Below are 22442 nucleotides of genomic sequence, written 5' to 3'. Positions count from 1 at the left end.
CTTTGGCTAATTTTCAGGAAGCAATTCTTATATATAAGGCATCTTCATATACATCATTCATACCCCTCCCAACTACCATTTGGGTGAGAGCTTATCTGTGTTTCAACAGTCAGAAGATGGAGGATCAGAGAGGCTGAATAACTTTCCCAACATTATGGAGCAAGTGAGCGACAGCCTAGTTCCATCCCAGATACCCTAAACCAAGTTCAGTGCCCTTTACGGAAACATTAATTAGGCAGTAGTGTGTGAAGCGGCAAAATTTTCTGAAAACAAAATGATTGGGTCTTAAGGCAGTTGTCTTGTTTCTAAAGAGTGGGAGGAAATGGTGGGGATGGGAGAGAAGCTCTCAGTAGGTGAGGACCTCACATAGCAAATATGCAGAAATACCCCAGGCTCTCCATCTGCTCCAAACTGAGGGCCAGGAGACAGCCAAGGAGTCTGTGGAAGAGAGCAGTCCGTGGGTTCCTGTAAGTTGAAAACAGCATCTCCCTTCTCAGGGCTGTGAATTGTGCCCCAGAAAAATCACAGCAGGGGCAGGCAAGGTGGGAAATGAATATATCATTCCTGAATGTGAGCAAATTCTGCCTTGTCACTGCTGTCAGTCCCTAGTGATTTTCTTGGCTGAGTTTATGTTCACTTCGGGGTTTCCTGATTTCCTGCTATGTCTCTACATAGTATGTATACCCTAGGTGCAATTGTGAAGGCGGGGAAAGGTGAGGCAAAGGCAATGAAGTGAAAAAAGAGGAAAAACAGGAAAAGCATCCATGTACAAAGACTCTTAAGTGTGGCCAGTGAGAGGATCCAGGTATTTATATAGACACTGAAGCAGGGAGGAATGTGTGGAAGATGTTTCTGTGGAGCCCTGTGGGCATCAGTGTGATTACAGGAGAAGTGTTGGTGGTCCTAGCAGGTCAGGTTGCTGCTTTGATTCAGGAAAGGTAGGAGTCACCCTGAGAGGAAGTTGGATACTGCTTCTGAACTCTCCCTAGTCAAACACTGGCTTCTGTTGACAATACCATGTGAGTGCTTCCCTTCAGTGTTCCCAGGGGGACTGCACATTCATTATTTCTTGCTTACATGGGATATGTCTCTCTTTCAGTCCATTGAATCCCTTTTCTCAAGGTGAGAAATGGCCCCTTGCACTACAGGTTTTAAGAGTAGAGAATATTAGGCTGGGCATGGTGGCTCACGCCTGTAATCCCAGCACTTTGGGAGACCGAGGTGAGTGGATCACCTGAGGTCAGGAGTTCAAGACCAGCCTGACCAACATGGTGAAACCTCATCTCTACTAAAAATACAAAAAAATTACCGGGCATGGTGGTGCACACTTGTAATCCCAGCTACTTGGGAGGCTGAGGCAGGAGAATCACTTGAACCCAAGAGAGGAGTTGCAGTCATCCAAGATTGCGCCACTGCACTCCAGCCTGGGTGACATGAGCGAGACTCTATCTAAAAAAAAAAAATGAAGAGAGAATATTTGCTTGTACTTGAGTTTCAAGAATTATAATATGCATAGAAATAATTAAAATAATTATATTCACATAATTCATTTTAGGTATATTTCTCATTTATCAATGCATTTTTATGAGCCAGGCATTGGGCTAACTTATTTTTATATATTGTCATTAATCCTAACCAGGCATTTTAAAGTAAATGGTATGTTTCCCTGTTTTCCAGTAAAAGAACCTAATAATTAGAGAGCTAAGGTGACTTGTCTAAGATCACGTAGCTCATCCATGGTAAAATTGGCATAAAGACTCTAGATTATCTGTTTCTGAAATGTTAACTTTACTACAACACTCTACACTGACAGCTCAATCAAAATATTTAGAGGTTGATGTCACAGTAAGAGCTTTCCCTGGAGTCAGAAAAATGAAGTGTATTCTGTATGTCCTATTTCCTGATCATGAGTTGTTGAAAGCTTTTTTATTTTTGTTTTTCTTATTCCATAATCGATATGTCTGATTATTTCTCCTTAGAAAAAGCATATTTAACAAAATGTTATATAAGTGTTTCCGTAATATAAGTTAATGAAAACTGCAGAGTTTTTTTTACATTTTGCTCTTTATCCATATAGTACAAAAAGCTATTTCTGTATGCAAGAGCTTCCATCTCATGTGAGACAGTCACAAATACAGAGCAGAGACATCCCAGGCAAGGAAGGAACCCAACAAGAGCAAAAACTGGATAGTCTTGGCCTCCATATTATGAAGTAAAATGATTTCATTCTAGGGATCACAGGATTTCTTGTTATATTTAAGTGGAAGAGAAAGTCAGAAGAGTTACTATGGGACACAAGAAAGTGGAATTGAGTCCTATTCCTACATCTACTACATCCCTAGTGAAACAGGAAAAGAGGTTTCTACACTCTGGGTCTCAGTGAAGTCATATATAAAGGAAATGGCTTGTTTAATTCACATTTACATTGATTTAAATTTCACACAAAATTACAAGCAAAGTTAAAGTCTTATTCGAAAGCTAGCATAAATACATAGAAATGTAAATGTACAATAAACATTTTTTCAAACTCTATAAATTCCTACTTTATTTGTAGGAATTACCCATTCGTACAAGAATGCTGGAGACAAAATTAACTGTTAATAAAGAAAAAAATGTCAGTAATAATGTCAGCTCTGAGACAGAAGGCTCTGTTTTAGGCAGTAAATTCTTAAATGATCAATTAACATATGTTTTTCTTTCAAGGATAACCTGACTACTATGGAGTTCAAATTGTTTTTAATAAACTGTATTGTAAACATTAGAATATGAATAACTCAAAGATAAGCATACCTAAGTTGAAGCCCAGCTTGTTACATGAATCAGATAATCTAAACAGCAATGTTATTGCTTGAGGTGTTATGATCCCCCGAACAGGATATTACAGATGTCAAAACACAGGAGGAATAGGAGCATATGAATTAGATCCCCAAAAGTTATGTTAACATAGATAGTATTTAGATAAACACAATCTATTTTTATCTTAAAGGCAGAATTCAATTATGTTAGAACTTGTGTGTAAAATGAAAAAGCTCTGAACAGTTGAAAGTTAAGAAACAGGAATTCTTACATGTTGGACACTGGGAAACTATAATAACTTCAGATCACACAACTGTAGTAAAAGAATAGGAATCCTATTGGATCCAGGAGGAACAGGGCCCTTGTCCTTGAGTAGACATCAAAGATTTTTTAAGAGCATTGAGAAGCAATGCTAAGGCAAGTTTGACAGGAAAGAATATCCTCTGATAGAAGTCAGTGCCCAAAATATCAAGAGCTACTTTGGAAAACGGAAGTTTTTGATATGAAGATTCAGAGTAATGCAAATTTTATAATTTTGGAGTTTCCTCATAGTTCCTTTCAAAGTTAGGATAGAAAAGTTATAACTCAACAAATACGTTTGTAGGGTTACTCTTAACTAATTCTGCTCAAATATGCACACAGAAAGATCTATAAGTATTAAATATCTTAAAAGCAATCTTGATTCCCATCAATAGTTGAATGGATAAATAAATTGTAATATGGTTATACAATAGAATGCTATTCAGCAGTAAAAACAACTTATGTAGAAAGCATTGTCTGAGGCCAAGTTCCCAGAAAACAGTCTCTGACTCGGACATTGTACCAAGAAAATTTATGAGTGATTGCTTTTGGGAACAACACCTATGAAGGAATAAAGGAGGTAGGACTGGGCAGGAGATGTTTACGGCGATGCAGTCAGAGCAAAGAGCTCAGCTCATCCTACGTGGAGCTCTGAAATAGGGATAACTTTTCAAAGTCATCCAAAATCAGGAAAGGGGGTTATATATTTGTAATTTCACCCACCAGTCATTGGACAGTTGCTACTGGGGAGGTGTAACGTGGAACAAGGCAGATCCCTTTAGCTAAGGGAATCTGGAAGGAAAGGCCTGGAAAGGGTCTCAGCAGAGAGTGATCAGCAGCCAAAACAGCCAGCTGCTGAAGGAATGAGTAGCTCCGTTCTGAGGATCCTGAAAAGGAAATCTGAACAGCGTACCACAGCATCCAGAATAGACATATATATCAACATGATTTTATTTCCTAACATAATGTTGACTGCAAAAGGCAAGTTGCATATGAATACAGAAAAATGCAATTTAATGAATGTATAACATTCATTATCATATCATTTTAAAAATATGCCAAAACAATAATTTATTTCCTTAGACATCTGTAAGGAAACAATAGAAGGTAATGAAAATGCCAAGATCACTATAATAGTTACTTCTGAGTACACAGAAAGGCATATACAGATATTCTCAATCTAAGTGTCAAAGTGGTAAGTTTAGTAATGCCTTCTATTCTTTACAAAGGTATTCTTTATATGTTTGTGTGATGGTTAATTTTATGTGTGAACTTGACTGGACTAAGATTTTCCCAGAAAGCTGGTAATACATTATTTATGGGTGTGTCTATAAGGATGTTTCTGGAAAAGAAGAGCATTTGAATTGGTAGACTGGGTAAAAAAGTCACCCTCAACAATGCAGAGGCCATCTATTGAGGGCCTGAATAGAACAAAATGGTAGAGGAAGGGTTAATTCATTCTTTTTCTGCTTGAAGTGAGATATTCATCTTCTTCTGTCCTCAGACATCCTTGCTTCTGTTTCCTGGGCCTTGGGACTCAGAGTGAGTAACACCATTAACCTTTCTGGTTCTCCAGATTACAGGCAGCAAATTGTGGAACTTTCTGGCTTTCATAATCATGCAAGCCAATTCCTACTGGAATTCAGGGGTGAGTGAGGCAGATATAGTTGTGCTTTCTAGTAGGATATAATCTAAGGAAGAAAATAGGAAAACAGAAGGACATAGTCTTTTTTTTTTTTTGCCAGAGGAAGTGGCCACCCACACTGGTCTTTCCACATTTATTTGAGGGGATTAACCCTTCATTGACTGAAAAAATGGTAATGGCCTCCCCTAAAGCAGTTTCCATGCAAGGCAATGCTGATTATACTCCTGGCCCACTCCCAACACCCATCTTTGCATCTAGACCTATATCTAGACCCTAGCAGGCCCCTAAAGGTGAGGTACAATGTATGACCTCTAATGAGGTATGCCATAATCCAAAATAACAACTTGAATTTTCTAACTTATACAAGCAGAAATCTAGGGAACATGCATGGGGATAATATTAAGGGTATATAATAATAGTAGAAGGAGCCTAAAGTTGGATCAAACCAAGTTTATTGACATGGGCCCACTAAACAAAGATTTTTCATTTAGCATTACAGCTCAGAGAGTTAAAAAGGGCTCTAACAGTTTGGCTGGTTAGTTGGCTGAAACATGGATCAAAATATGGCTCACAGTGAATGAATTAAAGACACTTAACCTTTCTTGGTTTAATGTAGAGGAAGGGATACTAAGGCTTAGAGAGATTGGAAAATTAGAGTAGATTTGTCATATAAGACCTACTCTCCCACACTAGGAGGTTCCAGAAGACATGGCTTTCACTGAAATTTTGAGATATAAATTTGTGAAAGGAGCCCTAGCATCCTTGAAGTAGTCCATGAATGTTCTTCTCTGTATGAGACCTCACAGTAAGAACTGCAGCCACTCAACTGGAAAACCTAAATACAATAGGCATAATTGGATCCCAGAGTGACAGGGGCCAAGCAGAGGCACCCAACCAGCAAAAGAAAGTTGGGCATAGTTTCCTTACCGGACAGCAGATTCAATGCAGCAATCAGAATAATCTGACTCATGCAGACCTATGGTGTTGGCTAGTTAATCCTGGTGTTTCTCGAAGTGAAATAGATAGGAAGCCCACTCAATTTTTACTTGACCTGTAAGCAGAAAAGTTCTTGTTCAAGTGAACAAAAGTCTAACTCAAATCATATAAACAAAGTCAAAGCCTCTCAGTCAATTCTAAGCCCTAAGGCATTTACAGACCCAGAACCCCTTGAGTGAAAGCAAGGCTATTCTCTCTCAAGGAAGAACGCTGGTACACTAACAAAAACTTATTTTAAACTGTTAATATTTCTCCCAACCTTCCCCAAAGGTACCTACAGCCTTTTAAACAGGGTAACTAGGAATTGGAGTAAAGGAAGTAAACATAACTTTTAAGGACTACTGGACACTGGCTCTGACATGACTCCGGAACATCTAAAACATCACCATGACCCTTCATCCAGAGCTGGAGCTTATAGAGGTCATATGATCAATACAATTTTTGATCAGGACCATCTCACCGTGGGCCCAGTGAGTTCCCAAATGCATCCTGTGGTTATTTCCCCAGTCTTTAAGGCATAACTAGAATAGACATATTTAGCAGCTGGTAGAAACCCTGTATTGGTTCCCTGAACTGCAAAGTAAGGGCTATTGTAGTGACAAAGGCCAAGTGGGAGCCATTAGAACTTCCTCTACCTAAGAAAATAGTAAATCAGAAGCAGTGATGCATTCCTGGGGGGACTGTAGAGACTGGTGCAGAATTTGAAAGATGCAGGGTTGGTGATCCCACCACATCCGTGCTCAATTTCCTATTTTGCCTGTACAAAGAACAGATGGATTTTGGAGAATGACAGTGGATTGTTACAAGCTTAATTAAGTGGTGACTCCAATTGCAACTGCTGTACTAGATGTGGTTTCATTGCTTGCACAAATTATCACATATTCTAGCACCTTGTATACAGCTATTGATCTGGAAAATTCCATTTTCCTACCCTGTCCATAAGGTACACTACAAGCAGTCTGCATTCAGCTGGCAAGACCCACAATACACCTTTACTGTCCTACCTCAGGGATCTATAAATTCTCCAGGTCTATGTCAGAATTTCTTTTGCAGGGTTCTTGATCATCCTTTTTTCCTACAAGATGTAGCATGAATGATATGCTGATTGAACCCAGTAAGAGAGAAGTAACAACTACTCTAGACTTATTGGTAAGATAGTTGCATGTCAGAGGGTAGAAAATAAATTCAATTGAAATCCAGGGGCCTTCTACCTCAGCAAAACCTCTAACGGTCCAGTGGTGTGAGGAATGTCATGACATCCCTTTCAAGGTGAAAAATATGTTGTTCCATCGGGCTTTTCCCTCAATCAAGAAAGAGGCACAGTACCTACTGGGCCTTTTGGATTTTGGAGACAACATATTCTCATTTGGGTGTATTACTTTGGACTCTTTACTAAGTGACCTGAAAAGCTGCTCATTATAAGTGGGCCCAAGAACAAAATAAGGCTCTGCAATAGCTTCAGGCTGCTCTGCAATGTGCTCTGCCTCTTGAGCCATGTGATTCAGCAAATTCAGTGGTGCCTGAAGTGTCAGAGGCAGAGAAAGACACCAATTGGAGCATTTGGCCTGCCCCTATAGATGAATCACAGCATGATCCTTTAGGATATTAGAGCAAGGCCCTGCCATCATCTACAGATAACTGCTCTCTTTTTGAGAGACAGTTCTTGGCCTATTACTGGGCCTTAGTGGAAACTAAATGTTTGACCATAGTCCACTAAACTACTATACGACCCAAGCTGCCCATCATAAACTGGGTGTTATCTAACCCACCAAGTCATAAATCTGAGCTTGCATAGCAACACTTCATTATTAGATGGAAATAATATATACACATTCAGCCCAAAGCAGACCCTGAAGTTGAAGTAAGTTACATGAAGAAGTGTCTCTAATGCCCATGGTTCTTGCTCCTGCCATACTGTCTTCTCTCTCCCAACCTACACTTATGGCCTTATGGGTAACTCTCTATGATCAGTTAACAGAGGAAGATAAGACTAAGGCCTGGTTTACAGATGGTAGTATTCATGGTCCTCACGATACACAGGCACTACCTAAATGTGGACAGTTGCAGCACTAGAGTCCCTCTCTGGGACATCCTTGAGGACATTGGGAAAGGAGAATCTTCCAAGTAGGCAAAACTTTCAACAGTTCACTGGCTTCATACTTTTCTTGGAAGGAGAAATGGCCAGATTTGTGATTATATTTTGAAGTATGAATTGTGGCCAATGGTTTAGCTGAATGGTCAGATATTTGGGAAAACATGATTGAAATATTGGTGACAAATTTGGGGAAGGTTTAGGTAGAGAGATATCACCAAGTGAACAAAAAATGTGAAAGTTGTATCCCATGTGAATGCTCACCAAGGGTGAGCTCAGTAGAAGAGGACTTCAATAATCAAATGGACAGAATGACCCATTCCATGGATACCAGTTGGTCTCTTTCCCCAGACAACCCTGTCATCACCCAGTTGGCTTATTAAAAAAATGGCCCTGGTGGCAGGGATGAAGGTAATGCATGGGCTCAGCAAAATGGACTTCCACTCACCAAAGCCAACCTGGTTACAGCCACTACTGAGTGCCAAGACTGCTAGTAGCAGAAACCAACACTGAGCCCTAATATGGTAACAGTCCCTTGGGTGATGAGCCAGCTACCTGGTGGCAGGCTGATTACATTGGACCACTTCCATCATGAAAGCAACAGTGTTTTGTTCTTGCTGAAATAGACACTCTAGTTATAGACTTGCCTTCACTGCATGCAACGTTTCTGCAAAAACTACCATCAGTGAACATATATAATGCCCTTCTAACCATTGTGATATTCCACACATATTGTTTCTGATGAAGGAACTCACTTCACCACAAAAGAGGCATGGTAATCTCATGCTAATGAAATTCATGTCTTACCATGTTCTTCACCATCCTGAAGCAGCTGGTTTGATAGTACAGTGGAATGGCCTTTTGGAGCTTCAGTTACAGCACTAGCTAGTTGGCAACATATTTCAGGGCTGGGGCAAAGTTCTGCAGAAGGCTGTATATGCTCTGAATCAGCATCCAATTTATGGTGCTGTTTCTTCCATGTCCAGGATTCATGAGTCCAGGAATCAAGGGGTGATAATGGGGGTGGCAACACACTATTACCCCTAGTGACTCAATAACACAATTTACACTCTGTGTTCTCAAGGCTTTATGCTCTAAGGGTCTTAATTCCGGGGGGGGGAAATGTTTCCACGAGGACGAACAATAACGAGTTCATTGAACTTAAAGTTAAGACTGCCACCTGGCCACTTTGGGTTCCTCATGCCTCTGAGTCAACAGGCCGAGAAGAGAACTATGGTGTTGGCTAGGGTAATTGATCTAAACTACCATTGGAAAATCATACTACTGTTCCACAATGGAAGTAAGAAAGGGTGTGTCTGGAATACAGGAGATATCTTAGCGTGTCTGTTACTATCCATGCTCTGTGGTTAAGGTCAATGGAAAACACCACCACCACAACCTAGGCAGGACTACAAATGACCCAGATTCTTCAAGAATAAAGGTTTTTTTCACCCCACCAGGTAAACAAACAAACAAACAGTGAGCTACAGTACTTGCTGAAGGCAAAGGGAATTCAGAATGGGTAGTAAATGAAGGTAGTTTTAAAGACCAGTTACAACCATGTGAGTAGTTACAGACATGAGGACTGTAATTGTCATGAATATTTCTTCCTTGTTTTGAGAGATATACAATTATTAAGCAAATATCTGTGTATTCCTTCCTCTTATTTACTTATCATATAAGATGTATTGACTATATATTGTTATTTAGGCATTGTTAATCTTACAGCATAATATTTAATTTATACATTATCAGGAAAATAGTAAACATGACCCAAGGACTTTACCCTTTCTGAGGAAGGGATTAGTGTGGTTTGGGTTGAATGTAGGATAGTTGTATTATGTCAAGCAAAATTATGACTGTTACTATCTTTATTTGGAGGTGAAGTAGAGTTTAAGGAGATGTGTATGGGTGCCAGTTTGAGAAAGGGTGGGCTTGTGATGATTAATTTATGTCAACTTGACTAGGTTAAGGGTTGCTCAGATAACTGGCAAAGCATTGCTTCCAAGTGTACCTGTGATGGTGTTTCTGAAATAGATTCGCATTTAAATTGGTAGCCCTAGTAAAGAAGATTACCTTCACCAGTGTGGGCAGGCGTCATCCATTCTATTGAGGGCATAAATAGAACAAAGTGGTGGAGAAAAGTTAAATGCACTCCCTCTCTCTGTTTGAGCTGGGACATCCATCTTTTCCTGCCCTGAGCATTGGAGCTCCTGGTTCCTGGGGCTTCATTACACCACCAGCTTTTCTGTTCTCCAGCCTGCGGATGGCAGTTCCTGGAACTTCTCAGCTTCGGTAAACACATGAGTCAATTCCTCTAATAAATCATATATATATTAAAGTATATATTTTTTTCTGCTTTTCTGGGAAACCCTGACCAATACAGTTTGACATCTCATTAAAAAATGTTAGATATTTAATCTGAAAAAATGAAACTAGGATTTCTCCATAAATTCACATATCGTTTGTTCATTCATTTGTTCTCTTTCTAAATATGTATATAAGGAGTTAGATAATACGTATTTTTTTAACTCAGCTCAAACTTTGAGACCAGCCTCCTAAATGCTGAGAGAATAACTAGAGAAGTAAAGCCCCTTGCTTTCAAGGGGCTTTAGTCTCATAAAAATATGAGACACACAGGGAAATTAAAATAGCAACGTGAGATTTATAAAGGGGAACCTGTGTGGAAAGCAAAGATGCAGCTTTAGGGCCATGATATATATATACGTATAGGCTCTCTCTCCAAACCCCGCTAAAGATGAGAGAGATCATGGGTGTGAAGCAAGAGCACGGGAAAAATAAAACCTTTATTGAATCCTTCACTGTTCTTTCTGGGATACAGAGGAATCCATTAACTTGACAAGTGCTCCCATTTGAGCCTCTGTTATATCAAAATTTCTTACAATGACCTGAAGTCCTACACCAGGAGTGATTTTCAGGCAGCAGCATATGCTTTGTCTAAGTATCACAGCTCTCCTCTCAGAGGTGTGTCAGAGACAGGCATTGTTTTAATCAGTCATTATGATGTCTTCTGTTAGATAGTATCTGTAGCTGTTTTTCTACCCAAGTAACTTTTTCTATAAGAACATATTGGGTCATACAAGAGCATATCCTCCTCTTTAGAAGAGAAAAAAGTGATTTATTGTGGAAGGATTTCCTGTCTTTGACAACCATGTTTGAAGGATTTTATAGGTGGGATTTAGTTTCTACTAAAGAGAGTGTCTAGAACACCAAGGAGGCCCTGTCAGTTCTGATATCCATTAGTTTCAGCTCTCAGAAGTCAGAGCTGTGTTTTAAACATCACTGGCTGCCTTTGAGAATTCTTGTGCCTTCCTCTTCTATGGATATCTCTAATCCCTATGATCCATTATAGTATGATAGTTGTTTGGTTGTTTATGTAGGAATGGCATGCATATTCTTGAAAGTAACAATTTCAAAAAAAAAAAACAAAAAGACTTCCATTTATGTGAAGGGGAGCAGAGGGCTTAATAGTTTAGTTTTGTTCTTTTTTTTTTTTTGCCCTAAAACTATCTCATTTGAGATTCAAAGCAGACTTCAACTTTCTAATATTTCAAAAATCACTGAACACATCTGAGGTTACCTTAGATGTATATGGGGTTAAGACTTCCCATACTTATTATGGCTTCAAACTCAGTTCTTCACTCTGTTTTCATTTTTACATCATGAGAAGCTATCTGATTTTGAGTTACACTTTACATGTTTTATGTTTTTATTTTTTATTTTATAACATCCTTATAGTGTTTTGATGAGGAAACTGAGGCGCAGAGAAATTATGATTTTGCCTCAGGTCACACAATGGCCATTGCAAAACTGAATTTAGAACCAGAAACATTGACATCAAGCCCACTTTAATAGACAAATAATATACCTGGAGAAATATCCACCTTTCCATATTACATTGAAATGTGAACCAAAAGAAACCTAGGAGATTGTATTAGTCCATTCTTATGCTGCTATGAAGAAATTCCCAAGACTGGGAAATTTATAAAGAAAAGAGGTTTCATTGACTCACAGTTCCACATGGCTGGGGAGGCCTCAGGAAACTTAAAAGCGTGGCGGAAGGCAACTCCTCACAGGGTGGCAGGAGAGAGAATTAGTGCCCAGTGAAAGGGAAGGCCCCTTATAAAACCATCAGATCTGGTAAGAACTAACTCACTATCATGAGAACAGGATGGGGGAAAGTGCTCCCATAATTCAATTGTCTCTACCTGGTCCCTTCCACGAAACATGGGGATTATGGGAACTATAATTCAAGATAAGATTTGGGTGGGGTCACAGCCAAACCATATCAGAGATTATCAAGTTTGAAGGATCCCCAAGAAAGTTGATTAGATCATTTCATCTGAGGGATCATTATTAATGGCTGTCAGCCAAGGATAAAAAATTATCTCAATAAATTAACCTGAGATCAACTCTGAAATAAAGCAGGTTTCTGCATCACAGAACTCTTTAAGGCCTTTAGAATATTTATGGTTACTTCCCAGGTGAAAATATAGGGGATATGAAATATGTGATCTTCCCAATTTGTTTGATCACAGAACTATTTTGGGGATTGACGTATTTTGCCAAGCACACTCTGAGAAACATGGATCTAAACAAGTTCTATTAATATGTGAAATGGGAAAACAATGCATAGGAAAAGGGAATGATTTGTCCACGGTTACCGCACTAGTTAGTAATACCAGAAAACAAGGAAGGAGAATAAGGTGTGCTCATTAAGTAGCATTTGCATGTGTCTAAAAACCACGCAGTCCTTTTCTACAGCCAATGTAATGCTAATGAGAAAAAATATATCCATCTGTGAAACAAAATATGGAGTAATATGCAAAACATATGACTTTTTTCATATTTTCAAAGATGTCCATCATCATTAAATGCTAGACAGAAAACCCTGGAACGGATTATGGCAACGATAATACTACTTTTGTGTTAAACGTCTATTACACATCTGGAACACAGAGGAGAAGCTTAATATTACTAGCTTAATTATCCTCTCACATGGAAATTATTTAATAATATACATGTTGCTATAAAAGTATGCTTCCCTTATTAAAGATTGTTAAAGGAAGATGAGACCTAGAGATCTTTTAATCTAAATTTTGGTTAGTTTCAGATATGGAAACTGAGGCCCTGTCTGGGTAAACAGCAAGGTCAAATGACTAATTTGTGACAGCACTGGGCTAAGACCCCAGGTTTCCACATTTTCACAGCAAAGTGCTTTCAATCTCATTGTATGAGTGTGTGTAACAATGCCAAATTACTGGAGATAGCTCCTAGGGTGCCACGTTTTACCTGATTTAAACTTCCATTTGGTTTTTCAGGAAAGAGTACGATTTTTAAATGAGATGACTTGTCATTCCCTGGCAGCCAGGGCCCCTGTTCAGTTGAGCCGGAAAGTGAGGACTGCAGCTTTCCCCTCTGGTTATGAGAGCTGGAGTGTCGCTGCTTACTGCATGCATAATTCATCAACCACAGACCACTATTTAAGAAATATTTCTAAATGGATTTTGCTTTTCCCCTTTCTAGGGGAATAATAGCCCTTCTTTCTCATCTATAAGTTCATCTGTGTTGCAGAGCATAAATAGGAGCAATAATCAAAAGAAATAAGAATATGATCTAGCTCAGAACAAAAGAAGAGCAGATGGCAGATTTAGCTCCTCCTTATACAGTAGAGGGAAATACTGAGATGCATTTTGCTATTCTGATTTTTGACTATAGGAGGTAGAAAGATCTAGGAATGTTGCTCCTCGGCCACTTGAACATTTGTCTCTGGATAGATTTGGTGTCATCATGAAGGCTCATACTGTAAGAGGAAGGACCACATTTACCTTATCTGCTTCACGATAACAGACTGCACTATCTTGTCACGCTGTAGTTTTACGTTCAGGGAAAGCTAGGTAATATAATGCAGCATGCATTGGATTTACCTCACCAAAGATTAATTCTACCTCTTAGAGCTTAGCAAGTTAGCTTTTGTTTTTAGGTGGCACGTACTCTGTGGCATAAAAATTAGACATGTAATGCAGATTTGGAAAACTACATGGATACATAAGTGCAAAGCTCGTGGATTTTCACAAACGTAATGTGTCACCCTGATCAAGGAACAGACCATTACTGGCACCAACATACTCTTCTTATGTTTACTTCTAGCCACTGGGTTCACTTGGATGAATACTACCCTCACCTCTGGATTAGTTTTGACTACTATTGAACTTTATATGAGTGTAAACTTTTTGTACAAACCATAGGATATAGTTTAGTTTCTTTTGTTCAACAGTTTGTGCATGTAATTTATCAATATTGTATATAATTATAGACTGTTCATTCTCCTTGCTTTAAAGTATTTCATCATCATGCATTCAACTGTTGATTAGCTTTCCGGTTGTTTCCAGTTCTTGGCCTTTACAAGTAATGCTGCTGTGAACATTCTAGTACATATCTCATAATTTATATGTATACACATTATTTAGAATAACATAGATAAGAATGGAATGTATCTAAAATATATACGTATGTGAATACTCATACATATATATGTCTAACTTTGCTGGATACTGACAAAAAGTTTTCTGATGTGAATGAACCAATTTATACTCCCACTATAGTACATGAGAGTTCTGGGGGCTTCACAGCTTCTAGAACGCTTGATATTTTTTAGCTTTATCATTTTGCTTATTTTGGTGTAAGTAAAGTATTAAAAATTTCTTATATTTTTAATTTGTATTTACTACTAATTACTAAAGCTGCATCTTCTCATGGATTTGTTATTAAAACGTGTCCTTTGTGACATGCCTGCTAGTGTTTTTTGCCCAATCTTCAACTTTTTTCTCATTTTTTATTGATTTGTAAAAGTTATGTACATATATATATGTTTGTCTACATATATATGCAAGTGTGTGTATACATATATGTACGTGTGTGTGTGTGTGTGTGTATATATATATATATATGTAATGAATACAAGTCCTTTAGCAGGTATATGTATTATAAATGTATTCTCTATCTTTCTGGATTGAACTTTCACTCTCTTATTGGTACCTTTTCATAAAGAGGATTTCTTAAATTTGTCATTTTTTTCTTCTTTGGATAGCAAACTCTGTGTACTGTCTCATAGATTTACCCACGTTGATGTCATCAAGACATTCTCTATTTTCCTCTAAAAGGCTAATGTTTGTAAATGGTGTGAAGAACAGATGAAATACATTTTTTCCATATTCTTTTTGTCTATCTATTGAAGCAGCACCATGCATTAGTTAAAGAAAAACAGCATCCTTTCCTCACTAAAGTCTCACTTCTGTCATAAATTGTTTAACTGTAATTCTGCAGAACTGTTACTGGGTTATATTCTGTTCCCTGCTCAGTTGTCTAGCCTTGTGTCAGTAGGACATTACCTCATGCACTCCCTATGATGAGCCTTTCTATTTGGTAGTATAAGTCCTCTGGCTGTCTTTGTCAAGATTGCCTTAACTACTTTTGAATATGTGCACTTCTATATGAATTTGATACTTGGTTTGATGTAAGAAAATTTTTGTATCATTTTTATAGTTACTTTTATTTTTGATTTTTTAATATGTAAAAATTATACCTAGTTCTGGGGTGTATGTGATGTTTTGATACATGCAAACAATGTATAGTGATCAAATCAAGGTAAATGGAATTTCCATCACCTGAAACATTTATCACAGATGGAACTGGAGGATATTATATTAAATGAAATATGTCAGGCACAGAAAGACAAATATCACAAGTTCTCACTCATATGCAGAATTTTAAAGTTGATGTCATGGATGTAGAGAGTAGAATAGTCGTTACCAGAGGTTCAGAAAGGTAGGGAAAAGGAAGAACACAGAGAGGTTGGTTAATGGGTACAAATACACAGTTAGATAGAAGGAAAAAGTTGTAGTGTTCAACAGCACAGTAGGGTTACTATGGTTAACAATCATTTATTGTATATTTCAAAATAGCTAGAAGAAAGATTTGGAATGTCCTCAATACAAGGAAATGCAACATAAAATATATAACTTTGATTCAGATTGAGTTTGGGTGAATTAGCATTTTTACACTATTGAGTCTTTCAGTCCTCAAACAGGATATTCCCCTGTATTTATTGCAGTCTTTTTTAATTACTTTCAGTGAAGATCTGTAATTTTTCAGAGTAGAAATCATGTACATATTTTGTTTTATTTTCTAGACATATTCTTTTTTGTGTGGTATTATACATGTGTGTTTTTCATTTTTTGTTGAAAAAGTCATAGAAGTAAAATGGATTTTTATTAGCCTGGTGCTCTGACATCTTATTAACATCATTTATTCATCTTAAATTTGTTTATAGATTCTTTTGGATTGACAATACACAATTATTGATTCTGTAAGTAATAACTGCTTTATTTTCTATCTTCCCATTCTTATTTTATTTTGTTTTCCCTGCCTTATTCCACTGGGTGGCCCTTTAGCAAAATATTAAATAGAATAATTGAAATCAGATTTCTATATTTTCTTCTTCTCATAGATACAAAATTTTCATCATTTTATTACTATTCATGATTTTAGACATATCTGATTAGATAGAGAAGTTCTATTATTAGTTTACTAAGAGTTTTATCATTCAAAAGTGCTGCATTTTGCCAAAAGTGTTGGCTCCGTCTGTTGAGATGATCACATTATGTGAAGTTTGTCATTATGGAGTACAGCTTTGCATCATACATTGTTACACACACATATGCAACAGTTGCTGGAGTAGTGTCATGGCTCCCTTTGGGGAAGGTACAAAGGAAGACTTAAAGTATATACTTTATACTTCATGTATACACACACACACACACACACACACACACACACATATACAAATTAGTTCAAGCTTGTTACTTTTACATCTTCTGTATCTTTACTGATTGTATCAGTTCAGTTTCTGTGGAAGAAACAGCCATCAAAAGTATTATGGACATAAAGGAATAAGGTGGGAGGAGCCAAGGAACTGAACATCTGGAAGGGAAATTCAGTATCAGAGAAAGAATCACTCACTACTCAGTCTGCCTGAAGTACTGTTGTAGGTGGACAAGTTGGAACCTACAGGGAAATTTTTAAAAGCCAAGCATTTTCACCCACCAACATGGGATCACATATAGGGGGCTCATGAAGAGGTCTGTGGGAAGCTGTGCATCTGTGAGAAGCAGCTGACACCTCAGTGGATCTACTGTCTGCTAGAGGCCTGGGATCAGTTTTTGCAGGAAAAGCCAGTAAATAAATATCAGATAAAATATACTTTAATGCGAACATGATTACTAACAACAAAGAGGACAATCTCATAATAATAAATGGCTAATGCAACAAGGCAATATCAAATTCTAATTTACCCAATAGCATAGTTTTGGAATAAAGTAGAAATTGACAGAACAAAAAGGAAGAATGGAAAAAATCATAATACCAGTGTGCAACTTAAACAAACCTCTGCTGACAACTAATTGAATAAGCCAAGAAAAAGAAAAATTGTGTACCGGACTATGCTATGACAACTTGGCTAAGTCTGGGATCTATGTTTCTCCGAACCCCACCCCCCTCTTTTCTGCATTGTTCTGGATTAAAGATGATGAATAGAAGAACTTACATGAAACCTGGAAGGCAGAGATGAAGCAGTAAATATCTCTCAAGAGTTTTTCACAGGTTGGTATGGTGATGGACAGATGTAGAAACACCCCTGCAGATCCCTGCTTGCTCTAGTGCCTTACTCCTCTAGGCCCACTTTGTCTTTTAGACTGAGTCCCCTGCTTACCAACAGCACCTCCAGGCCCACCACCAGATGCCTGATTGTGAATCAACAGTAAGTCACTAATGATCAGACATGGTAATGGATAGATGCAGAGGCGCCTGAAGCATCCCAGAAGCTGAAGACCAGGTACTACCCCTCGCATTATCTACCACATAAAAGAAGCACACTGTGTGATTGGCCTTTTTAGATTGTGAAGGCAACATACAATGTATTTGAGTGCGTGATTTCTACCCATCTATCCCAGTAAAATAAAATTGCTTCTTGGTGATTCTTACAAATTAGAATGAAGAAAAAATAATTAGCTGGATCAATGACTCACTATCAACTGTCAAAATCTGTGCTGATATACCCTAGTAAATCTAAATCTGGAGTTACTACCTAATTAGGCTCAACATAGCCCACAGTCATTTCCCAAGATCCATCTGATTTATTCACAGGGAAAACAGTAAGTTAAAGAAGTGTTGATGATTACATCAACACTGTGTCTCTCAAGTCTTTAGTGGTGGCACTAATCTGTTATTCTCCAAGGGATATACCATTGTTCCTTGTTTGCTATTTTGTAATGGAGAGAAAATTCCAGGGGCTTCTGCTCAGCCCTTCTATTATAATGGCTCTTATCCCATGGGTGAGAGATCCCATGTGAGAATTCCACCAATTGTCAAGTATATCTATTCTAATCATACATTCAGGAATTAGGGAAATAGCCACAGGATAGGTCTGTAGAACAATTGAGCTGACTGTAAATTGAATGTGAACTAAGACCACCACAGTCACGACTTTGGTTATCTATGGTGGCATTTATCTATGGTGGCATTTTGGGGTATGAGAAATTAATGTTATTTCAGAGCCAGTGTGTGGTAATATCAAACATGTCTGGATAATCCCTTTGGTACAGTACACGGTTCCTGGAGTAGTGTCATAGTTCCCTTTGGGGAAGGTACAAAGGAAGACTTAAAGTATATACTTATATGAAGCTCTTTCTATTTTCTGACAACATGATCTTATATAGAGAAAAACACAAAGGCTCCATACACACACACACACACACACACACACAACTATTAAAACTGATAAATTCAGCAAACTTACAGGATACAAAATCAACCTACAAAAATCAGTAGCATTCTGTATAATAAATACAAACTATCCAAAGGGGAAATTAAGAAAACAATTCCATTTACAATAGGAACAAAATAAATACTTACATGTCAATTTAAACAAGATGATAAAAGACCTATATACTGAAAACTATTAAACACTAATTAAATAAATTGAAGAAAACACAAATTAATGGAAAGATATACTGTGTTCATGGATTAGAAAAAATAATGTTGTGAAAAAATCCATACTACCCAAGTGGTCTACAGATTCAATGTAATCCATATTAAAATTCTAACGTCATTTTTCACAGAAAAAAAAACTATACCTAAATTCATATGGAACCACATAAGACTTCAAGAGTCAAAACAATCTTAAGCAAAAAGAGCAAAGCTGGAGGCATCACATTCCTCAGTTTCAAACAAATATTATAAAGCAATTATAATCACAACAGCATGGTACTGGCACAGAAACAGGTACACTGACCAATGGAAGAGAAGAGAAAACCTACAAATAAACCCATGCATTTATAATCAATTGACTTTTGGCAAAGATGCCGAGAACACAAAATGGGGAAAAGACACAGTCTTCAATAAATGATGTTGGGAAAACTGGATATCCACATGCAGGAGAATAAAATTAGACGCTTATTTTACACCATTTACAAAAAACAAACCTCAAAATATATTAAAGATTTAAATACAACACCTGAAACTGGTAAAACTACTAGAAGAAAACAGGAGAAAACCCTCAAGACTTTGGTCTGTGCAATAATTTTTAGGATATAACCCCAAAAGCACAGACAAAAAAAGCAAAAACAGAAAATGGGATGGCATCAAACTAAAAAGCTTCTGTACATCAAAGGGAGGAATTAAGAAAGTGAAGAGCTGGCCCACAGAATAGCAGCAAATATTTGCAAACTGTGTATCTGATAAACGGTTAATATCCAAAATATACATGGAACTGAAACAACTCAATAGTAAGAAAACAACCTGACTTTAAAAATGGGCAAAAGGCCTGAGCATGTATTTCTCAAAAGAAGACATACAAATGGCAAACAGGTACATTTTTAAAAACATGTTTAGCAACACTAATCATTAGAAAAATGCAAATTAAAACCACAGTAAGATATCACCTCACATGCTAGAATGACTTTTAGCAAAAAGATGAAAGATAGTGTTGGAGAGAATACAGAGCAAAGGGAACTCTTATACATTGTTGTTTGTGGGAATGAAAATTAGTACAACCATTATGAAAACTGTATGGAGGTTCTTCAAAAAACTAAAAAGAGAGCTAACATATTATCCACTAATCCCACTTCTAGGTATATATCCAAAGGAACTGAACTCAGTATTTCAGAGGCATATCTGCACTCTCATGTTCATTGTAGCAGTATTCACAATAGCCAAGATATGGAGTCAACCTAACTGTTTATCCACGGATGAACAGATTAAAGATGTGGTATATATTCACAATGAAATACTGCTCAGCCTTAAGAAGGGGTAAATCCTGTCATTTGTGACAACATGAATGAATCAGAGGACATTATGCTAAGTGAAATAAGCCAAGCACAGAAAGACAAATACCACATTACGTCATGTATATATAAAATCCAATAAAGTTTAACTTACAGACAAATAGATCATAATGATGGTTACTAGAGGTTGGAGGGATAGGGAGCGAAGGAATGGAGAATTGTCAGTCAATAGATACAAAGATTCAGGTAGAAAAGAGAAATAGATTTTGAGATCTGTTGCACAGTAGGGTCATTGGAGTCAATAATAACATTCATTTCAAAATAACAGTAAATTTTAGATGTCTCATCATAAAAAAATGTATGGAAAGCGATGTATATATCAATTAGCTTGAGTCTGAAAACTAGGAGAGATATTATGACTTTCAATTGTGATAAGTTAAATCAGGATTTGGGCTACTAGACCTGGAATATTTGTATTATATAGATTTGAGAAATATATTCTGGTTGATTTCCTATCTATATAATTCCTAAGAAAATTGTTTTCAAATAACCATACCCACAGGTCTCTGAAGCTTAAAACAATCCTGATTATCTATACCTTTTTGCTTCCTTTTTAAAATAATAAATGTGTCCATTTTGTCTGTGCCACCTTGCCTCTGCTACTCCAGAATACCATCCACTGTAGAAGGTGGGACTCAACTCTGGAGGCAGGGCTCAGACAGTGGACCAGATTCAGGACTAGAGAAGACAGGGAAGAGGTGAAAGCATCTCCCCATACGAGATGCCAGGACAATGGCAACACCTGGAAGTTACCACCCTTTTCCATGGCAATGACACAGTGACCCAGAAGTTACCAACTTTTTCTATAAATTTCTGCGTAATCCATTACTTAATTTATTTATAATTAAAAGTTTGTACAAATATGACTGCAGAACTAAACAGCTACTGTAGGCACACACCTGTGGGGTTGCCCTGCTCCACAAAGAGTAGTACCTCTGCTGCTGCTGTAAACAAGCTGCTTCCATAAAAGTTGCTGTTTTAATACCACCAACTCACCCTTGAATTCTTTCCTGGGTGAAGCCAACAACTCTCCTGGGTTAAGCCCAATTTGGGGGTTGACCTGCCCTGTGTCATTACCAGTAAAATGAGAACGTTTATCTAATTGGAGAAATTACCCATGGTCATATCTAGCCTACAAAGAAGAGAAAATACAGTGATTCAAGTTTCATTGTATTCCTCTCATTGATATATTTATCAACCTTCCAATTGAAGGAAGTGTCTTCTAGGCCTTTACAAAGAATGTAACCAGGGTTTAGGTATACAAGTTGCATATGATAAATCTGTCATGTTTCTATATAAATCTGTCCATATTCCTCTTCTGAAATGCATTATTTTTGGGGGAAATTAAAATGTGATGCAAAGATCCTTATACTTTGTGAATTCCCCATATATCATCCCTATACTTCTTTCCAGAACCTTTTTCCTATTGATTTTCTAGTAACAGTCCTTCAAGCCTCTGAGAAAACAACCCAGTCATTTGCTACTCTCTAGAATTCCCTTGGGCTGTTTCCTTTTTCCCCCACACAAAGTGCAATACCTTAGGCTTTACCTACTGAGAGGATTTCTCTTCTTCACTGTCTTTCAAGGACACCCATAGGCAAGATGTAGCTCACCATTAATCTATTATTGTTGCCTTAGAATAATTTACCCACATAGCCCATTAGTGAACAAAGCCTGGACATATTTTTCCTCCTCTTTCAGACTGTCATGCAGAATCTTTCAGAAGCCAATGGAAGTTTATAGGAGCAGCACTGGTGCAACAATGGTGGGTCACATGGGAATCTGTTCCTCTTTTTTCACGCAGCTTACTAGGGCCATTTCATCCTACTGAGGGCTGATTCCTGATATGCTGCTTTAACTGTATAATAAATTATTATTGGTCCTGCCTGATTCTTATGATTGTGGATATGAAAGCTCTCAGCTCGTGATGGACAACACTGGTTATGTTCACTTGAGGTATTAGTCCGTTCTCATGCTGCTATGAAGAAATACCAGAGACAGGGTATTTTATAAAGCAAAGAAGTTTAATTGACACACAGTTCCACATGGCTGGGAAGGCCTCAGGACACTTTAAACTATGGTGGAAGGCATCTCTTCACAGGGATGAGAAGAGGGAATGAGTGCCAGCAGGGAAATGCCAGATGCTTAAAAAACCATCAAATCTCATGAGAATTCACTCTCTATCAAGAGA

The 22442-nt window shown here is 37.6% G+C and overlaps 2 long non-coding RNA genes across 4 annotated transcripts in view; one reads left to right on the top strand and one right to left on the bottom strand.

Annotated features, from left to right (window-relative positions):
* The window catches only part of LOC105378474 (uncharacterized), a 37010-nt gene extending 19449 nt beyond the window's left edge, over nt 1-17561 (bottom strand). For 2 of the 3 annotated variants that reach the window (XR_946301.1, XR_946302.1), the window contains exons 1-2: nt 8637-8817; nt 5669-5792 (exon numbers count right to left, since the gene is read on the bottom strand). This is a non-coding gene — a long non-coding RNA (uncharacterized LOC105378474). Of the gene's footprint in view, nt 1-5668; nt 5793-8636; nt 8818-17454 lie in introns of those variants that run through there. The other variant, XR_946303.1, reaches the window with a different exon arrangement.
* LOC105378475 (uncharacterized) lies at nt 8996-22142 on the top strand. The gene is made up of 3 exons (XR_946304.3): nt 8996-9289; nt 16183-16218; nt 21953-22142. It is a non-coding gene; the product is annotated as an uncharacterized LOC105378475 (long non-coding RNA).
* The last annotated feature ends 300 nt before the right edge of the window (nt 22143-22442 follow it).

The sequence above is a fragment of the Homo sapiens genome, chromosome 10 (genome assembly GCF_000001405.40).
Source record: "Homo sapiens chromosome 10, GRCh38.p14 Primary Assembly".
Lineage (NCBI taxonomy): Eukaryota > Metazoa > Chordata > Mammalia > Primates > Hominidae > Homo > Homo sapiens.
The sequence above is the reverse complement of the archived record's forward strand: the minus strand, read 5'-3'. Positions and strand labels throughout refer to the sequence as shown.